The 18970-nt window shown below is 35.8% G+C and overlaps 1 protein-coding gene across 4 annotated transcripts in view; it reads right to left on the bottom strand.

Moving 5' to 3' along the window:
* The window catches only part of USO1 (USO1 vesicle transport factor), an 89710-nt gene that overhangs the window by 27696 nt on the left and 43044 nt on the right, over positions 1-18970 (bottom strand). For all 4 annotated transcript variants that reach the window (NM_001290049.2, XM_006714397.4, XM_006714396.5 and 1 more), the window contains 5 exons: positions 16052-16152; positions 15667-15769; positions 15454-15509; positions 11795-11915; positions 3733-3911 (listed from right to left, as the gene is read on the bottom strand). In NM_001290049.2, the coding sequence (NP_001276978.1) occupies positions 3733-3911; positions 11795-11915; positions 15454-15509; positions 15667-15769; positions 16052-16152 (560 nt within the window). The remainder of the gene's footprint in view (positions 1-3732; positions 3912-11794; positions 11916-15453; positions 15510-15666; positions 15770-16051; positions 16153-18970) is intronic.

Below are 18970 nucleotides of genomic sequence, written 5' to 3'. Positions count from 1 at the left end.
CATGTATTAGGCATGGGGTGGGCTGCATTGATTGCTAATGCCAATTAAATCCCTATGATTCTATGATTACTTGGACTGTAAACATAAAATTTCAGAAACATGAAAAAAGTCATCTCAAATAACTATTTAACACAGTTATGTCTCCAAATTCATTTTACATGTGTGTCACATTTTAAAACTAGAGTTATGTGTATATATATGTGCAAAATCTTCTAAATCAAGATCAAATGGGGGTATTTATGATAATACCTTGTTAACAACAAAGTGCTATACAAACATTAACCATTATTTTATAGGAGATACACAGAAGTAATCAATGATTTAAGAGAGTAAACTAAAACACTTGTATTACTACAGCCGACACATATTGTGATCTATGGATTGACTCCACTAAGAAAGGGGATTTTTTGTGAGGGAGGAGTTAAATACTAAAACAAAAAAAAGTTTGAAAAGTGGTACTTTTTATTGTTGGTGAATAAAAAGGTAACCAGAAATCACTAGAATTAGAGAAAAACTTCAACCAGTAGTTAACTCAGTGAGTAATGACAAAACAGATTTAGATGTTTCCATGTCTGGCTTAACAGACATCTCAAAGAGGGTTCATTAATAAATTGATGTCACTAAAGAGAAGGTCAGGATTACATTGGTTCCTGTCCTTGGACTTTTCTAGTGAGATTTCTGGTGTTTTTTCCTCCCTTAATTTATTTCCCTCCTATCCTTACTACTTCTTTTCCTTCTTTTTTTGAGTATTTAAAACAAATACTACGCAATATGTCAATTGTACCACAAATAATTCTGTATGCATCTCCACTTGATATTTTTTGAAATATAATCATACCATTATTACAATGGACAAAATCAACAGTAATTTTCTACTATCCTCTAATAGCAGTTGAGTGTCTTTACTGATGATGTAAATAAAGAAAAAGGGAATATTTATGAGGATAAAAAGAGATCTAATAGCAACATGTAAATATATGAAATATTCACAAGGAATGAACATGTGTCATTCCAGAAAGCAAAAGTAAATTTACAGAAGTCATATCAGGACAGTTTATGACTTAATATATAAAGTTTCTAATAATTAAAACTACCCTAGAATGAAAATGATTATCTTATAAGGTTATGAACTTTCTGGGAGCTATTGGCAGTATCTTCCCAATAAAATGCCATAGAAGAGACTCCTGCAGGGATAAAAAGTAGACTAGCCATAAAACTATAATTTTTTAAAAAAATAAAATATTTTATAACTAAAAAACTTTTCAAAAGATGTTTTCCCTAAATATAGTCTGCAAAATTTGAATTAAAACTCAGCAAGCAGATCAATTCTGTTTTTAGTAGCTCAGAATGCAATCATGATAACTGTGATGATGAATAGTTCCAACACAGAATGTGTATGTCCCAACAGGAAAACAATGATGCATTTTTATTTAGTGTATAATAGAGAACTTAAAATCCAAGCAACTCTAAATAAAGTTATACATAAAGTATTCCAACAGGTTCTAACAGAATAGCAGAAGATAACTCCTGGCCTGTAAAGTCATGAGTGAATCTACTATTCAGTATTGCAGGTGGAGAATATATTAAAATGAATTAAACTCAGTTCCTCTGCTTTGGAGTTTACGGTCTTCACGACAAGTGTAAGAGATAAAAGCTTTACTAAGCTACAGAAAGTCAGTTTATTCACTTTTTAAAAGTAAAGAATTCTTAAAGAATCAACTTGTTATATAACGAGAATACTGTATTTTTCTGTTTACATGCTGTACTCTAATAATTTTTTGGTAATTTTTTTTTTTTTTCCTGAGATAGAGTCTCACTCTGTTCCCAGGCTGGAGTGCGTGGCGTGATTATGGTTCAATGCAGCCTCAACCTCCTGGGCTTAAGTGATCCTCCCCTTCAGCCTCCTGAGTAGTTGGGACAATAGGTGGACACCACCACACCGGGCTGATAAAGACCATGTTGCCTAGGTTGGTCTCAAACTCCTAAGCTCAAGTGATCCCCACCTGCCTTGGGCTCCCCAAGTGCTGGGATCATAGGTGTGAGTCACCACACCTGACCTACTTTACTTTTTAACAGTGACACTTCCTTCAGAATAATTCTTTACATAGTACCCTAAACCATAAAACATGTGTAGCTTCCTCAAACAATTTAAATTTTCACTGTTTGATACGAAATACATGCTTTTTTATATCATCAGATTCTCTCACCCTCTCTAATCACATTTTGGAAATTACTTTTCTAGAGGAATTTCCTTATTTAAGAAAGCAGTGTAGGCCGGGCATGTGGCTCACACCTATAACAGCAGCACTTTGGGAAGCTGAGGCAGGAGAATTGCTTGAGCTCAGGAATTCCTGACCAGCCTGGCAATACAGTGAGACCTCATGTCTACTAAAAATAAAAAATCCAGTCAGGTCTGGTGGCTTGCGCCTGTAGTCCCAGCTATTCAGGATGCTGAGGTGGGGGGATTTCTTGAGCCAGGGAGGTTGAGGCTGCAATAAGCTGTGAAGACACCACTGCACTCAGCCTAGGCAACTAAGTAAGAACCTGTCTCTTAAACAAAACAAAACAAAATAAAGCAGTTTTGAACAAAGGTATCAAGGTTACCACTTGGTGACACTGTTTCTAAAACATTAAAAAACTATTAACTTCTTAAATGTATAATACCAACATTTGAAAACAGAAATGATGAGTTGGGAGTACAAATAGACTCTGTAACTAAGTTCTCCTGGTAAATACTTTTGTAACAGTTTTTAGGCATATTCTAACTAGGGTAACTGCATAATTTATAATCCAAACCAGGACACTTTTGAAGTGAAAGAGGATGCTATTAGTAATTACAAAACGAGTAATGTACTGGCAAACTGGGACACAGATTACCCTAATTATCAGTCCTATGCAGGCAACTCCCATGGCATGGGACAACATTCAGCCTCTAATTACTAGCGGACCTAACCATCTAGTTAGGTCCACAACTTCCGAGAAACACAGGTATAATTCAGAGACATTCAAAGGCCCACAAGAATTATGAGTTCATAAGTAAGGAGACTAGTATAAACTTAACAGTTTGGAGAAGGAGGATTCAATAAAGGAGTAAGTAGACTACTTCAAAGAACTTCAAAATTTTCTCTGATGAGGAAATAATTTGGGATCCTACTGTCCTCACTTTTATTATTACCACTAAGCTTTCACCATAAAGGATCAATAAATCACAGGTGGTCTGTCAATTTAACATGTTTTGGACTTAAAACTCAGACTAATCATCTTTGGGGGCAGGACATGATCATTTATTTCCTAGCATCCAGTGCCTGGCTCTCAGTAAATGCTTACTGAATGAATTTATTTGAACTTAATAGTTTGAATATTAAAATTTATCCTATTAGAGCCCTAAGTGAAGAAAGCAGGTTTTTAAAAATTCAAATCAACAATGTAACCTATTATTCCTTAATGTAAAACCCATCAGGAAACTGTATGTCTGAATTTGCTTTAAAATCATACAGCAGAGAGGAATAAACGATGAAACAAAATTGCCAGATGTTAATAACTGTCAAAGCTAAGTAATGGGTAGGCAAGATCTCTAGCTAGAGGATAACTGCAAATTTCCATATTACAGTTTTTTTAAGCCAACCTGAAATCCATCAAATATTCTGGATTTATCAAATACAAGCGATTTTCTTCTCTTTGAAAAGATCACTGTCAAAATTCTTACCACATTTATGTCTAAGGATAGTATACCTGTAGCATTAGATGTAGATTGGTCACTTTCTGTGCAGACCAGCCAGAATTTTCATCTCCAACTTCAAACCAAGGTTTCATACGTTGAATATATGAGCCTTCTTTAAAAAAATTTTGATTGGAGTTGTTGTTTTTTAATAAGTTTTGGAGCAAAATCAAACAATCTTCAACTACTATACCTGGGGAAATAATGTAAAACACAAGCGTTAAGGCTCGTAAAACCTGACGCAAAACTCCCAAACATTTTTAAAAAGATAAATCTCCATGCTCAGCATCTCTTCAATATGGCCAGGCAGATAGACAGTCTGCTCTGACACCTGATGGCCACAGGCCATAACCTGCATGCTCTTTCTCAGGTACCCCAAAGATCTCTTGACTTCTATGTCAAGTAACCAATCGCCTTAGTAACTCATTGTTTATCTTCAAATCCCAGCTTAAACATCATTTCTTCAGGAATGATTACCAAGACTACAGGACTAGGTTAGCGTCACCAGCTACATGCTCTTACAGTAGCCTTCTCCTTTTATTATTAGGTAGTGTTTGTCTTCTCCACTAGATTATAATTCACAAACGCTTGTGAACAGTCTACTTACCTCTGTATCTTTAGCAGAGACAGAGACATGATATCATGTATATACACAGTACTTAACTATTAAACATTTGTTGAATGAATCAACCATATCTTATTTGATCTCTAAGAAGCTCTTAACATTGTCGGTTTGTCTCTTCCTTGAAACTTCCCTTGATTTCTAAAACATTATGCTCTCTTGATTTTCCTTACAGCTCTGCAGGTGCTCAATCTTTCATTGTTTCTGTCCTCCATGGTTTTATCCTTTTTCTTCTTTGTTTACAGCATATACTCTCCAGGGCAGTTTCATCCACACTACAGCTTTCACTATTATCACAGTGAAAACTCTCCAATTGATCTCTACTTTACCAAGTACTAATAGATTAACCAATAGCCTCCGTTTCTTCTGATAAACATATTGACTGATGCTGGATGCTGTACGTAACGACAAGTAAGCTCATCTGGTACATCAACACTTTTATTCCTAATAGTTGAGCTGTATGTTGACAAAAATAAATTATTTTTTTTTTAAAAAGACATCATTTTTTAGAGCAGTTTTAGGCTTATAGAAAAAGTAAGTACAAATAGAGTTTCTCTACACAGACATCTACTTATTGGTTCTAGACTTCTGCAATAAAGCAAGTATCACAATCAAGTCAGTCCCACAAATTTTTTGGTTTCTTAGTGTATACAAAAGTTACATTTACACTATAATGTAATTTATTAAGTGTGCAATAGCATCATGTCCAAAGAATGTACATAACTTAATTTAAAAATATTTCATTGCTAAAAAAATGCTAATGACCACCTGAGTCTTCAGTGAGTCATTTTACTTCCAGTAGAAATTCTTTCAAAACTGGAGTCAATTCTCTCAAACCCTGACACTGCTTTATCAACTAAGTTGATGTAATATTCTAAATCCTTTGTTGTCATTTCACCAATGTTCACAGCATCTTCACCACCTTCTTTGCTCATCCATAAGTAATAACCCCTCATCTGTTGAAGTTTGATCATGAGATTGCAAAAATTCAATCACATTTTCAGGCTCCACTTCTAATTCTCCTGTTATTTATACCACATCTTCAGTTGGTTCCTCCACTAAAGTCTTGAACCCCTCCAAGTCATCCATGAGGGTTGCCGGAATCAACTTCTTCCAAACTCCTGTAAATCTTGGTATTTTGACTTCCCATGAATTACAAATGTTCTTAATGGTATCTAGAATGGCAAATCGTTTCCAGAAAGTTTTCAATTTACTTTGCCCAGATGCGTTACAGAAATCACTATCTATGTAGCTATAGCCTTATGAAATGTATTTCTTAAATATTAAGACTTGAAAGTCAAAATTGCTGGGTGCAGTGACTCACACCTGTAATCCCAGCACTTTGGGAGGCTGAGGTGGATGGATCACTTGAGGTCAGGAGTTCAAGGCCAGCCTGGCCAACATGGTGAAACCCTGTCTCTAATAAATTACAAAAATTAGCTGGGCATGGTGGTGCATACCTGTAATCCCAGCTACTCACGAGGCTGAGGTACGAGAATTGCTTGAACCTGGGAGGCAGAGGCTGCAATGAGCCGAGATTGTACCACTGCATTCCAGCCTGGGGGACAGAGTGAGACTCCATCTCAAAAAAAAAAAAAAAAAAAAAAAAAGTCAAAATTTATCCTTGATCCATGGGCTGCAAAATGCATGTTGTGTTAACAGTATGAAAACAATATTATTGGCTGGGCACAGTGGCTCACGTCTGTAATCCCAGCACTTTGGGAGGCCACGTGGGCGAATCATGAGGTCAGGAGTTCAAGATCAGCCTGGCCAACATAGTGAAGCCCCATCTCTACTAAAAAAAAAAATACAAAAAATTAGCCGGGCACAGTAGTGGGTGCCTGTAATGTTAGCTACTCAGGAGGCTGAGGCAGGAGAATTGCTTGAACCTAGGAGGCAGAGGTGGCAGTGAGCCGAGATCACACCACTACACACCAGCCCAAGTGACAGTGCGAGACTCCATCTCAAAAAAAAAGAAAACAGTATTATTCTCTTTTTACATCTCCATCAGAGCTCTTGCGTGATCAGGTGCATTGTCAATGAGAAGTAATATTTTGAAAATCGTTTTTTCTAATGCACTGGGCCTAGAAAACCATGCTCTTACACAGAAGTGTAAGAGATGTGTGTTCAGTAAATGTGTGCTCAGTAAATCATGCTATTACATAGATGTGCTGTCTTCCAGGCTTTGTTGTCCATTTATAGAGGGCAGACAGAGTAGATTTAGTATATTTCTTAAGGGTCCTAGGATTTTCAGAATGGTAAGTGAGCACTGGCTTCAACTTAAAGTCAACAGTGCATTAGCTCTTAACAAGAGAGTCAGCTTGTCCTTTGAAGCTCTGAAGCCAGGGGGTGACTTCTTTCTAGATACAAAAGTTCTAGATGGCATCTTCTTCCAATAGAAGGCTGTTTTGTCTATGCTGAACATTTAGCATAATTCATCAATTATCTTAACTAAATCTTCTGGATACACTTGCTGCAGTTTCTACATCAGCACTTGCTGTTTCACCTTGTACTTTTGTTAGGGAGACAGCTTCTTTCCTTAGATCTCACGCAGCAACATCTGCTACTTTCATGCACAATATCCATTCTTCCAACTTTCCTTGTGCAGCTTGTTCACCTCTCTCAGTCTTCACAGAATTGAAGAGTCAGGGCGTCACTCTGGATTACGCTTGGCTTAATGAAGTGTTGTGGCTGGTTTCATTTTCAATCTGGACAACTAAAACTTTCTCTATATCAGCAATAAGGCTGTTTTGCTTTCTAATTATTCATGTGTTCACTGCTGTAGAACTTTTAATTTTCTTAAGAACGTTTCCTTTGCATTCACAACTTGGCTATTGGGCCTAGCTTTTGGCCTCAGCTTTTAACATGCCTTCCTCTGTATCTTCAGCAGAGAAAGCTTAATCATTTCTAGCTTTTGATTAAAAGTGAGAGATATACAACTCTTCTTTCACTTGAACACTTAGAGGCCACTGTAGGGTTATTAATTTGCCTGATTTCAATATTGTTATGTCTCAGGGAATAGGGAGGCCCGAGGGAGGGAGGGGAAGAGGGGAAGACAGAGTGGGAGAGAGAGAGGATGGGCCAGTCTGTGGAGCTGTCAGAATGCATAAAACATTTTTGCTTAAGTTTGCCCTCTTATATGGGCACTGTTTGTGGTACCCCAAAACAATTACAATAGTAACATCAAAAATCACTGATCACATCACCATAACAGATATAATAATGAAACTTTTGAAATATTAATTGTGACAGAGACATGAAGTGAGGGCGTGCTGTTGGATAAATGGAGTCAACAGACTTATTCAATGCAGGGTTGACACAAGCCTTCAGCTGGTAAAAAACATATTCCCTGGGAAATACAATGAAATAATGTATGCCTGTACTTTCCAGTTCCCCCATCATTAATATATTGCATTAATGTGGTACATTTCTTGCAATACAATTCATAAATGAATACTAATACACTATTATTAATTAAAGTCCACAGTTTACATTAAGGTTCACTCTGTGCTATAAAGTTCTATGAGTTTTAACAGAAGTATAATCTCTTGTCTCCACCATTACAGTATCATACAGAATAGTTTCATGGCCCTAAAAAATACCCTGAGCTTCACCTATTCATCTCTTCTTTCCTCTATCCCCAAATCCCTGGCAACCACTGATCTAAATATTTATGGTCCACATAGTCTTGCCTTTTCCAGAATGTCATATACAGCCGACCCTTGAACAACAGTTGGGTTTGAACTGCGTGGGTCCACTTATATATATGTTTTCTTCCTCTCTGCCATCCCTGAAACAGCAAGACCAATCCTTCCTTTTGCTCCTCAGCCTACTCAACATGAAGATGACAAGGATGAAGACCTTTATGATAATCCACTTTACTTAATGAACAGTAAATATATTTTCTCTTCCCTCTGATTTTAATGTTTTCTTTTTTCTACCTTATTTTACTGTAAAAATCGAGTATATAATACATACAACGTACAAAATGTATTAATCCACTGCTTATGTTATTGGTAAGGCTTCTGGTAAACATAGTCTATTAGCGGTTAAGTTTTGGGGGAGCCAAAAGTTAAAAAGTAGATTTTCAACTGGGGCATTGGTGTCCCTAAATCCTAAGTTATTCAAAGGTCAACTATAGTTGGAATAATATATTATGTAGCTTTTTCAGACTGGTTTATTTCACTCAGCAATATGCCTTTATGGTTCCTTTATGTCCTTTCATGGTTTGATAACTCTTTTCTTTTCATTGCTAAATAACATCCCATTGTATAGATGTAGTACAGTTTATCTATCCATTCAACTACTAAAGGACATTTTGGTTGCTTCCAAGTCTTGGCAATTATGAACAAAGGTGTTTTAATATTCATGTGCAGATGTTTGTGTGAATATGTCTTAAACTAATTTGGGTAAATACCAAAGAGCGTGATTGTTGAGTCATAAGACTATGTTTAGCTTTGTGAGAAACCACCAAACTGTTTTCTAAAGTAGTTGTACCATTTTGCATTCCCATCAGCAACAAATGTGTTTTTGTTGTTCCACATCTTCGCCATCATTTGGTGGTGTCAATGTTTTCTTTAGTTTTCCTCATTCTAAAAGGTATGTAGTGATATCTCATTGTTTTAATTTGCAGTTCCCTAGTGATATATAATGTTGAGCATCTTTTCATATGGTCATTTGCCATCTGTATATCTTTTTGGTGAGATGTCTGTTCAGATCATTTGTCTATCTTTAAATTGGCTTATTGTTTTCTTATTTTTCAGTTTTAAGAGTTCTAAATATATTTTAGATACAAGTCCCTTTTCAAACATGTGTTTTGCAAATATTTTCTTCTCATCTGTGAAGTATCTTTTCATTCTCTCAACAGAATCTTTTGCAGGGCACAAGTTCTCAACTTTAATGAAGTCTCATTTATCAATTTTTTTCTATGGATCACACTTTTGGTATTGCATCTAAGAATCAATTGTTTCATTCACAAATCTACCATGCTATTTGCACTGGTTATTAATTAAATACTATATAAAACTACCAAAATATGTGTGAAAACAGTTATTTTGCTGAAAATTAAATTTAAGTCTTTGGCAAAACTCAATGAAAGGACGTCACTAAAAATATAGCTGTTAAATATGGATAATACAATTCTAAAAGATAGAAAAGTAATTTTAAAAACCCAGATATATCCTGCAATCTATTTTAAAGAAAACAAAATGCAAATCCTACATGATATATTATAGGCGTGATGTATGCAAGGAAGATGATGAAAAACTTTAATCAGCATACCCATATTCAAGGTAGTAGTTCTGGCCCTATTCCAAAGATTAGTACATAAATATACACCTTTATTTTATTACATTTAACTTTAAAATGCTTAAGGTGCACATTTTAAATGCTTTTCAAGAATTCCTGATTTAACCAGACCTAATCTCTCCAGATTAGAGGCTTCCTCACCTCCTACTGAGGAACCATATGGATCCTCATCTTATGAGGAGGAACCACTCTATCTGCCTCTTAGGTAGGACCATAAATATCTATTAAATATGGTCTGCCATTAGGACCATCTGAAGGCTTTGAAGGAAAAAGCATGTCAAAAGCCCTCACTACAACTGGCAGGCCTTCTTTCCAGCATGCACCTTAGTGAACCCTAGAGCCTTAATGGCCACTATCACTTACAAAGAGCCACTGAAACTTGTTTTAGCAACTAGGAAAACTTAGCAAATTCTATCTTTCCTTAAAACCCTATTTTCTTCAATTGCCTCCAAAAATGTACACCTCTCTGGTCATCTCTGCTTTCCCAGTTTTTCATTTTACAATAGTTTGCATTTCCCCTCTTCCATTTAATCTTTTCAAACCCTTTCATGATGCCATTGCCAACTCTCAGATATTGGTTAATAAAACACCCTATAACCCAATTATATCTTGAAATGCTCCGTTTCTTTAAAGAATCTGCTTTATCTTGTAATGTTCTCAAGTGAAAGTAATTCATGTTCTCAATCCCATGTACCTTAGAGTCAGCATGTTGAAGCTGTGACCCTCCCAGCCCAGTGTACTTTCGAGAGACCATAGTTCCTCTACTCTCATAAAATCTCCTGTTCCCTTGAGGCTTGGCTATATGGCTGTACCATCTCTTACGACTTCTCATTGCAGATATATAACAAATTCATAGTCACTATCCTTTGTCCACGGAAAACATCATTGGCATCTTGCTCAAAGTCTTCTTTCTCTAAGCTCTGCTGTCTACTTAATTTTAATTTCAACAGCAACCCGTCTAATACCTAGACCACTCAGTTTTTTTGCCTCATCTTTGGCGATAATCCTCTCTTACTAAAACCTATTTTTGTGGCTCAAGTATTTTCAACACATTTGTTCCATGGCTTCCTTGAGTCTCTTGGCCCACCAACCAAATGCCTTTTTTAGAAACTCCCTTGTTTTTATTTCCTTCCCTATCTAGCTTAGATTATAGAGATTTTCGTTTCTTCCACTCTACAGAAGTGGAATAGGAATATACTATGTTCTCTTGTCTTACTGTCTTTTCATAGCACCTTCCCAGAAAAGGCCCAACCCTGTGAAAAACTGAGTTTTTTTTCTATATTTGCACCTAGGCAGCTGAGTGCTGCTAGGGGAGAAAATAAATTACACACTCAAGTAGTTGGTGCTATTGTAAAATCATGGTGAATACCCTTAATGGGGCCCTTATCCCCCTTTTTATTTTTTTGAGGCAGAGTCTCATTCTGTTACCCAGGCTGGAGTACAGCGGTGCGATCTCAGCTCATTGCAATCTCCACCTCCCGGGTTCAAGTGATTCTCGTTTCTCAGCCTCCCAAGTAGCTGGGATTACAGGTGTTTACCACCACGCCCAGCTAATTTTTGTATTTTTAGTAAAGATGAGGTTTTGCCATGTTGGCCCGACTGGTCTCGAACTCCTGGCCTAAAGTGATCCACCCACTTCAGCCTCCCAAAGTGCTGGCATTACAGGTATGAGCCATCAAGCCCAGCTGGGGTTCGTATCACTTTGAAAATCTTCCTAATTACAATAATTAACTAGCTCTCCTATTCTCCAAAAGACTATTTCTAACCTTTCCCATTAATTCTCAATTGTGTCCTCCCTATTCACTCAGTATATAATTCTGCCTTCAACTCAACTCCCTATCACCAAATCTGCAAAAGGACATGCATAATAATCTATAGCTTCAGAAAAATAAAAGAAACCTAGCAATACAGTATTTGAAGAGATATAGGTGAGATTTTCTAAACAAGGAAAGACACCAACCTAGATTGTAAAAGCCTAACAAATATGAAACAGGATAAAGAGAAATCGATAGTCAACATGCCATAGTGAAAGAAAAACAAAGAGTATAAATAAGAGTCCCCATTTCTCCCTCCAACTGTATTCCCTATACCCTAACAAGTCAGTGAGTACAAAAGGAATGTCTTCAAATAATTTCTTCATACTATACCTCCATCACTGTTCCCCTCCTCTGAAATAATGTCCAGTAGTCTCTCGAAAGCATTTTCAAAAGCAACAATTTTCTGGATTGCACCATTGCTTCTTGTTAGTGCCTGCAGTAGTAAGACGCCCTATAGAGAAGAAAGAGAATGTTTAGTGGAGTACAAAATTTATGAGACATTTTTAAATTACTTCAAAAATCACAGAATTTTAGAACTGGCAGAGATTTTGCAAGCCCAACTCCTTTACTTTATACATAAGGAAAACAAGAACAGAATAGTTAAGCAATTTGTCTCCCTAAGGTTATAAACCTCAAAGAGACAGACACTAGACTAGAATCCTCTTCTAACAATTCCTAGTTCAGTTATCTTTCAACTTTATGATATAAACATACTAGAATTCCTTTATATTCATTAACCACTACATAGCTTTCGTTGCAGCTAAAGAGTTGAGCATGAAAGTATCTGTCTCAGGAATGCCACTGTACCTGCTTCACAACAGTAATAATGAAAAACTTGCAATTCAATAATATAAATCAATGAACACCACCACAGTCTAGTAGAGAAAGTTCAGAAATTCTTGTAAACATCTGGCCTTCAAATCCCCAAAACTTGATTCTAAGTCAAAATAAAAAAGGAAGATGAAAATTGATGCTTCGTGAATGGCATGTCCAACACAAGACAATTCACAGCAGCCATTGCCTCTGACTTCCAGTTTTTCTCAGCTCCTGGTAAGCTGGATACAGTTTATATATTTTATAATATCTTTATCATTCAATAAAAACTCACTGTTACCCATTTTTGCTTATTTTGGTATTATGCAATTTATGAGTCCCTAAGTATTAAATAATAGCATGATGGTAAAAGAGACAACAAATATTTTACGAAAAAAAAGCACAGATATTATTGTAGAGGAAGAGGAATAGCAAATAGGTAGTAAAAAGTCCCATAGAGGCAAACTAGCTGTTGGCTACCAGTACTGAGTAGGTAAGTATTCATATAAGACAAAAAATGCCTATGACTTTATTGGGCTTATTCCACTCATTTTCTTGTCAACTTTCAACATTAATATGAGAGAAAAAGGTGAAAACAGTTATTTTTGGATGTCAAATTCTCCCACTTAATGCTGCCAACTTCAGTTTAACTACTAACAAAGAGAAGAAGAAATACAGTGGAGAAAATATTTAGGCTCTGAGTTATATAAAGTGGGTTTAAAAACTGGTTGCCCAAACACTGTTCCCCAAAAACTGTTCCCCAAAAACTAATGAAATAAAAAAATAAAAAATTGGTTGCCCTACTGACTAGTTGTGCCAACTTTAAGCAAATTACATGAACTTATAGTATACTCATGTAATATCTTTGTCACAGGGTTTTTATAAAGACTAAAGGAGACAAAATAAGTTCTATAGAACCCACTAGCTTTCAAGGTCTTAGTATATTTTAGTTTCTTTTCTCTTTACCCTCTTGAATAGGTTTATTAAAATAAAAAAAAGGTTATAAAACATGTAAAAACCAATAATCCAGACATTACAACAAAAACAGAACTTAATCTGTGATCATAAAATTAATAAAAACCAATATAAATAGACACTTATTTGTCTGTCTCAAATAAAAGTTGAAAAAAGGTTAGGAGCAGAATAAAAAGGTAAAGAGTTAAAGGAAAACAGGAGATTCCAGAATTAATGCAGTTATTATTATTATTTTTTTTTGAGACAGAGTTACTTTCTTGTTGCCCACGCTGGAGTGCAATGGCACAGTCTCAGCTCACTGCAACCTCCGCCTCCCAGGTTCAAGCGATTCTCCTGCCTCAGCCTCCCAAGTAGCTGGTATTACAGGCGCCCGCCACTACACCCAGTTAATTTTTTGTATTTTTAGTAGAGACAGGGTTTCATCATGTTGACCAGGCTGGTCTCAAACTCCTGACCTCAGGTGATCCACCCATCTTGACCTTCCAAAGTGCTGGGATTACAGATATAAGCCACCACGCCTGGCCTAATGCAGTTATTTTTTTTAAGAGCACTTTTATATCTGAAAATGAAAATAAGTGGTAATGAAATTAAAAGATGTGGGGAGACATAATTTATGATTTGCATGATATCCTCTTATTTAAATTGCAGGACATGGAAAGAATAGAACAGAAGCTTTAAAGATACATAGTCATATTTTAGTCAAGGAAAGATACCCCAAATTTCTAATAGATAGATACCTAGTTAAATAAGACATTTCTTAAAAATGACACTTAAATATTAAAGAATAAAAAATGTACTTCTCGGCCGGGCGCGGTGGCTCACGCCTGTAATCCCAGCACTTTGGGAGGTCGAGGTGGGTGGATCACAAGGTCAGGAGTTCGAGACCAGCCTGGCCAATATGGTGAAACCCTGTCTCTACTAAAAATACAAAAAAATTAGCTGGGGGTGATGTCACATGCCTGTAATCCCAGCTACTCGAGAGGCTGAGGCAGAAAAATTGCTTGAATCCGGGAGGCAGAGGTTGCAGTGAGCCGAGATCATGCCACTGCACTCCAGCCTGGGTGACAGAGCTAGACTCCATCTCAAAAAAAAATGTCCTTCTTGTAAGTTACATACTGTATTAAGTTCACTACCTATAATACTGAATTGATATACATATTACAAAATTTTAAGTACAACAAATTTTAAAAACTGTATCCATAGACTAGGAGTTAAGAATGCTTCAGTTTTGTCTCTGCTTTGCCATTAACCAGTTATAAGGCTAAGAGCAATCCAAATGATATTTACTAAAACTTAGGATGAAAAAGTCACACGGCCAATACCATAAATAAAAAGATGAGTAAGACATGGCTAACAAAGAACACTTAACTTTACTTGGTTTCTGTGGGTCTTGGGCATTTCACTATAAATATGGAGATTTAATTAGCTTGATATGATCTCCTAGCTCCAGAATTTAATTTTTCTAATTGCTATTTTAAATATTACAGAATTTTTATCAAGTTGTAGGTAACAATAGAGAAAAATGCTTATGCAACAAAATATACAGCATCAAATACAAAATATTCAAACTTATATGCAAATATAAAATAAATCGGAATGGAAAATAAGTCCAGAGCAAATCATGCTCCATGATTAACAAGGCAAATCCTTAGAAATACACACTCAATCAAATAAGGGCAAGGATTCCAAATATAATGCTTTGTTGGGTTTACACAGTTCAATGTCTGGAGGTATCTCCGCTACTCTTTATGAGGAAAAGAAAATTGCAGAGGTAGAGTTTGGTGTCAAATACAACCTTTCAGCAGATAGTATAAGAAATCCTAAACTAATGGAAGAAATAAATTTGAATGGCAAAATGGTTTGTCTAACCCAAAATACTGGATAGCCAGGAAAGAATGAAACAATGTGGCCTTGTACAACTTTAAAAGGTCATTACTCCAGCCACGCTCAGTGGCTCATGTCTGTAATCCCAGCATCTTGGGAGGCCAAGACAGGAGGATTGCTTGAGCCCAGAAATTCAAGACCAACCTGGGCAACATAGAGAGACCCCCATCTCTGTTTACTAATTTTTAATTTTTTTAAAAAAAGGTCATTACTCCAGCTTTCTAAATCTAATTTCCTAAAACTCAACAACAAGGATTTCATTTGCAAGAGAAAAAAAAGCCACATATTTTTGTATTTCTTTTTGAAATTTAACTTACATCATTACGTATAACTTCCCTGGAATCCGCTAGTAAGTCCATCAATCTTGAAACACCTAGAACATACAACCATGTGAAAAATGCTGGCAGACCAAAAATACAAATAGTGACTCAAATTATTAACAATTTACTAACACACCATTTCAGTCCCTTTCTCTAGGAAATGATACTCATGCTTGAATCAAAATAATATAAAAAAGATAAGTCACTTACCCATAGGACTGACTAAAATAATTTGTTGCACCTGAGGCCCTAGTTGTTTTAAAAGAGAAGTAAGAAGCTTCACACCAGGCCAGCGGACATGGAAATCAAACTCCTGCAATGTAAGAATTCAAAATATTTAACATCTGTAATTCACATTTTCGAGAAAAACATTTTTTCCACTAATAACTTTTACCAGAAACTACAAGTAAAACATGGAAGTTTAGCATACTTTAAGTGATTACATAGTTCTTGAAACATCCATGTGGATCTCTTGCTATAATACAATAAACTTTACTACCTTTAAAGGTATATACATGTTACTTCCTCAATAACATCCAAAAGGCAACAAAAGCAGCTTATTAAGATGACAAAAACATCAAGGTTCCCTATTTACCTCCAATAAAGATAACAGAAGAGTGACATTTTCCTGCTGCTTAATGAAAATTTCTGTAAATTGGCTTCCCAAATCTTCACTCTGTCTTGTGGAATTTTCTTCTGTAATATTCAAAAATAAAGAATTTCAATTTAATAGTAGGTTATTTTAAAATATCCTTTCATTGAAGAGTTAAGCGTGAATGATAATTTTCCTGGTAAACAATTCAACACTGGAACAGTGTGGCTGGTAGCAATATCACAATTATTATGTAAAGCTATATCCTTAAAATAATGTTCAAATTCATTTAAATACATTTTATTGGCTAAATGTTTAAATATGATATCTAAAAAAAGGATACTTAAATACTCATATTTTCTCAAGGGCATTTTTAGGTTACTCTTCTATTAGGGCATAAGGAAACAATTTGGGATAGAAATAGTCTATCTAGAATGTGGTAGTGGTGACACTTCTGTATACTTCTGCCCAAACTCAGACTACAATTCAGAGTAAATTTTATTGTATATAAGTTGTATCTTAAAACCCTTGTCCCCAAAACAATATTGAACATATAGTCCTTGCTGACTGTTAGTGTTACTGGGTTAAATAATTTAATTATGAAATTAAACCAATCTACTCCAGATTTCTCAGTATCTTTTTCATATACATATCCTACAAAATTCTTTGGCAATAAAATCAGAATTTGACATCTAATTTCTCACTTATTGTTTAAAGGATTTTACATTTGTCTTTAATGTTTAAATGTCTTTTAATTAAAGTATTTGTTGTCTCAATGTACTATGTAAAAAAAAAAAAAAAAGATCACTAAAAATGAAAGCAACAACTGCCAAAGCAAACTACTTAAGATCTGCCTATATTATAAACTCAAATTAGTGATGCAAACATACTACTTCCCATTCTCTCACTCACACCAGACACAGCTAATTAATCACAGCATTGGCTGAGCGTCAGAATACTTTTCCATATAGTACTCCACTAAGTGACTATCAGCCAATGGAGCTGAAAGTCAAGATCAAACCCATTATCCCTCAGAAAATTCTTTTCTAAATGTGAGGGAAAAAACCCAGCAGATGACAGGAAAAGCAAAGCAATCCAAGATTGACAGTCATAATCCCATCTAATTGTTTATAGAGGAAAAAGAAGAGACCAAAAGTAGAAATGAAATGTTTTCCAGTTGATTAATTACCTAAATATGCTGGGTTTATCCTTCAGAAACTCCAAGAAATATTTCTCTTAATCATCTCTTATATCAGTAAAAGAATTCACTGCTTTATACTTTCATTTTAAAAGGATTACTCTGGTTGCTATGCTGAGAACACACTGTCAGTGAGTAAGGAAAATAGGGAGACAGGTCAGGAGGCATAATCAAGAAAAGAGTCACATGAAGGTGGCTTAGACCTTAGATGTCATAATTTTTATTACAAAGGATTATGATTTGTTGACATGTTGCACAGAGGAGTGTGGGGAAAGAAAAGGAAGAGTGATTCCAAGCTTTTGGCCTAAAGAACTAGAAGGATAGGGTTGCCATTTACTGAGATTGGAAACACTGTGGGAGAAGCAAGCTGGAAGTATACAGAGAATCAGAAGTTTAGTTTTGGACATATTAAGTTTGAGATACCTTATAAAAATCCAAGTGCATATACCAAGTAAGAAGCTGGATAAATACTAACATAGATATCAGTGGAGAAGTCTGTGTGGATAAACACATTAGAGTGGTAAACATATAAATGATATTTAAAGTCACAAGACTGGATGACAAAGTGCAACTACAAAAACCTTACAGCTAACATCATACTTAATGGTGAAAGACTGAATGTTTTCCTCTTTAAGATCAGAAGGAGGCAAGAATGTCCAATCTCATCAATTCTAGTCAACATTGACCTGAAGATCCTAGTCAGTGCCATAAGGCAGGAAAAAGAAAAGGAATACAGATTAGAAAAGAAGTAAAACTGTCTTTATTTACAGATGACATGTTTGTCTATGAGGAAAATCCTATGGAATCTACAAAAGAGCTAATAGAACTAATAAGTAAGCTTAGAAAGTTGCAGGATAAAAGGTCATACACAAAATTAATTGTATTTCTATTAATAGATACTAGTAATGACAATCGGAAATTAAAATTCAAAAAACAGTACCACTTTCAATAGCATCAACAAAAACATTTGACAATAGGTGTGTGCTACTTACACTCTGAAAACTCCAAAACACTGCTGAGAGAAATTGAACAGGCCAGGTACAGTGGCTCCCACCTGTAATCCTAGCATTTTGGGAGGCTGAGGCAGAATTGTTTAAGCTCAGGAATTCAAGACCAGCCTGGGCAACATAGTGAGAACTTGTCTCTACAAAAAATAAAAATTTAGGCTGGCTTGGTGGCGCATGCCTGTAGTCCCAGCTACTCGGGAGGCTGAGGTGGGAGGATCCCTTGAGCCCAGGAGTTAGAGGCTGCAGTGAGCCATGATTGTACCACTGAACTCTAGCCTGGGTGACAAAGTAAGACCCTGTCCCAAAAAAGGAGAAGAAAAAAAAAGAAATTAAAGAAGACCTGCAAAAACAGAGATATACTGTGTTCTTGTATTAGAAGGTACAATATTTTTATGTCAGGTTTTCACAAATTGATCTACAGTCAACAGAATCCCAAATTCTCAGTTGACCCTTTTTGTAGAAATTCACAAGCTGATTCTAAAATTGGTTTGCAAATGCAAAAAACCTAAAACAGTCAAAACAATTCTGAGCAACAAAGTTAGAAGACTTAACACTACATAATTTCAAGATTTATTATACAGCTACAGTAATCAAGATGATGTACCATGCATAGATCAATAGAAGAGAACAGACCAAAAATACACCCATTAACTCAAAATGGATGATCTCCTGACCTCGTGATCCGCTCGCCTCAGCCTCCCGAGTAGCTGGGACTTC

This window comes from Homo sapiens, chromosome 4 (assembly GCF_000001405.40).
Source record: "Homo sapiens chromosome 4, GRCh38.p14 Primary Assembly".
NCBI lineage: Eukaryota > Metazoa > Chordata > Mammalia > Primates > Hominidae > Homo > Homo sapiens.
This window is presented reverse-complemented; position numbering and strand designations above follow the sequence as displayed.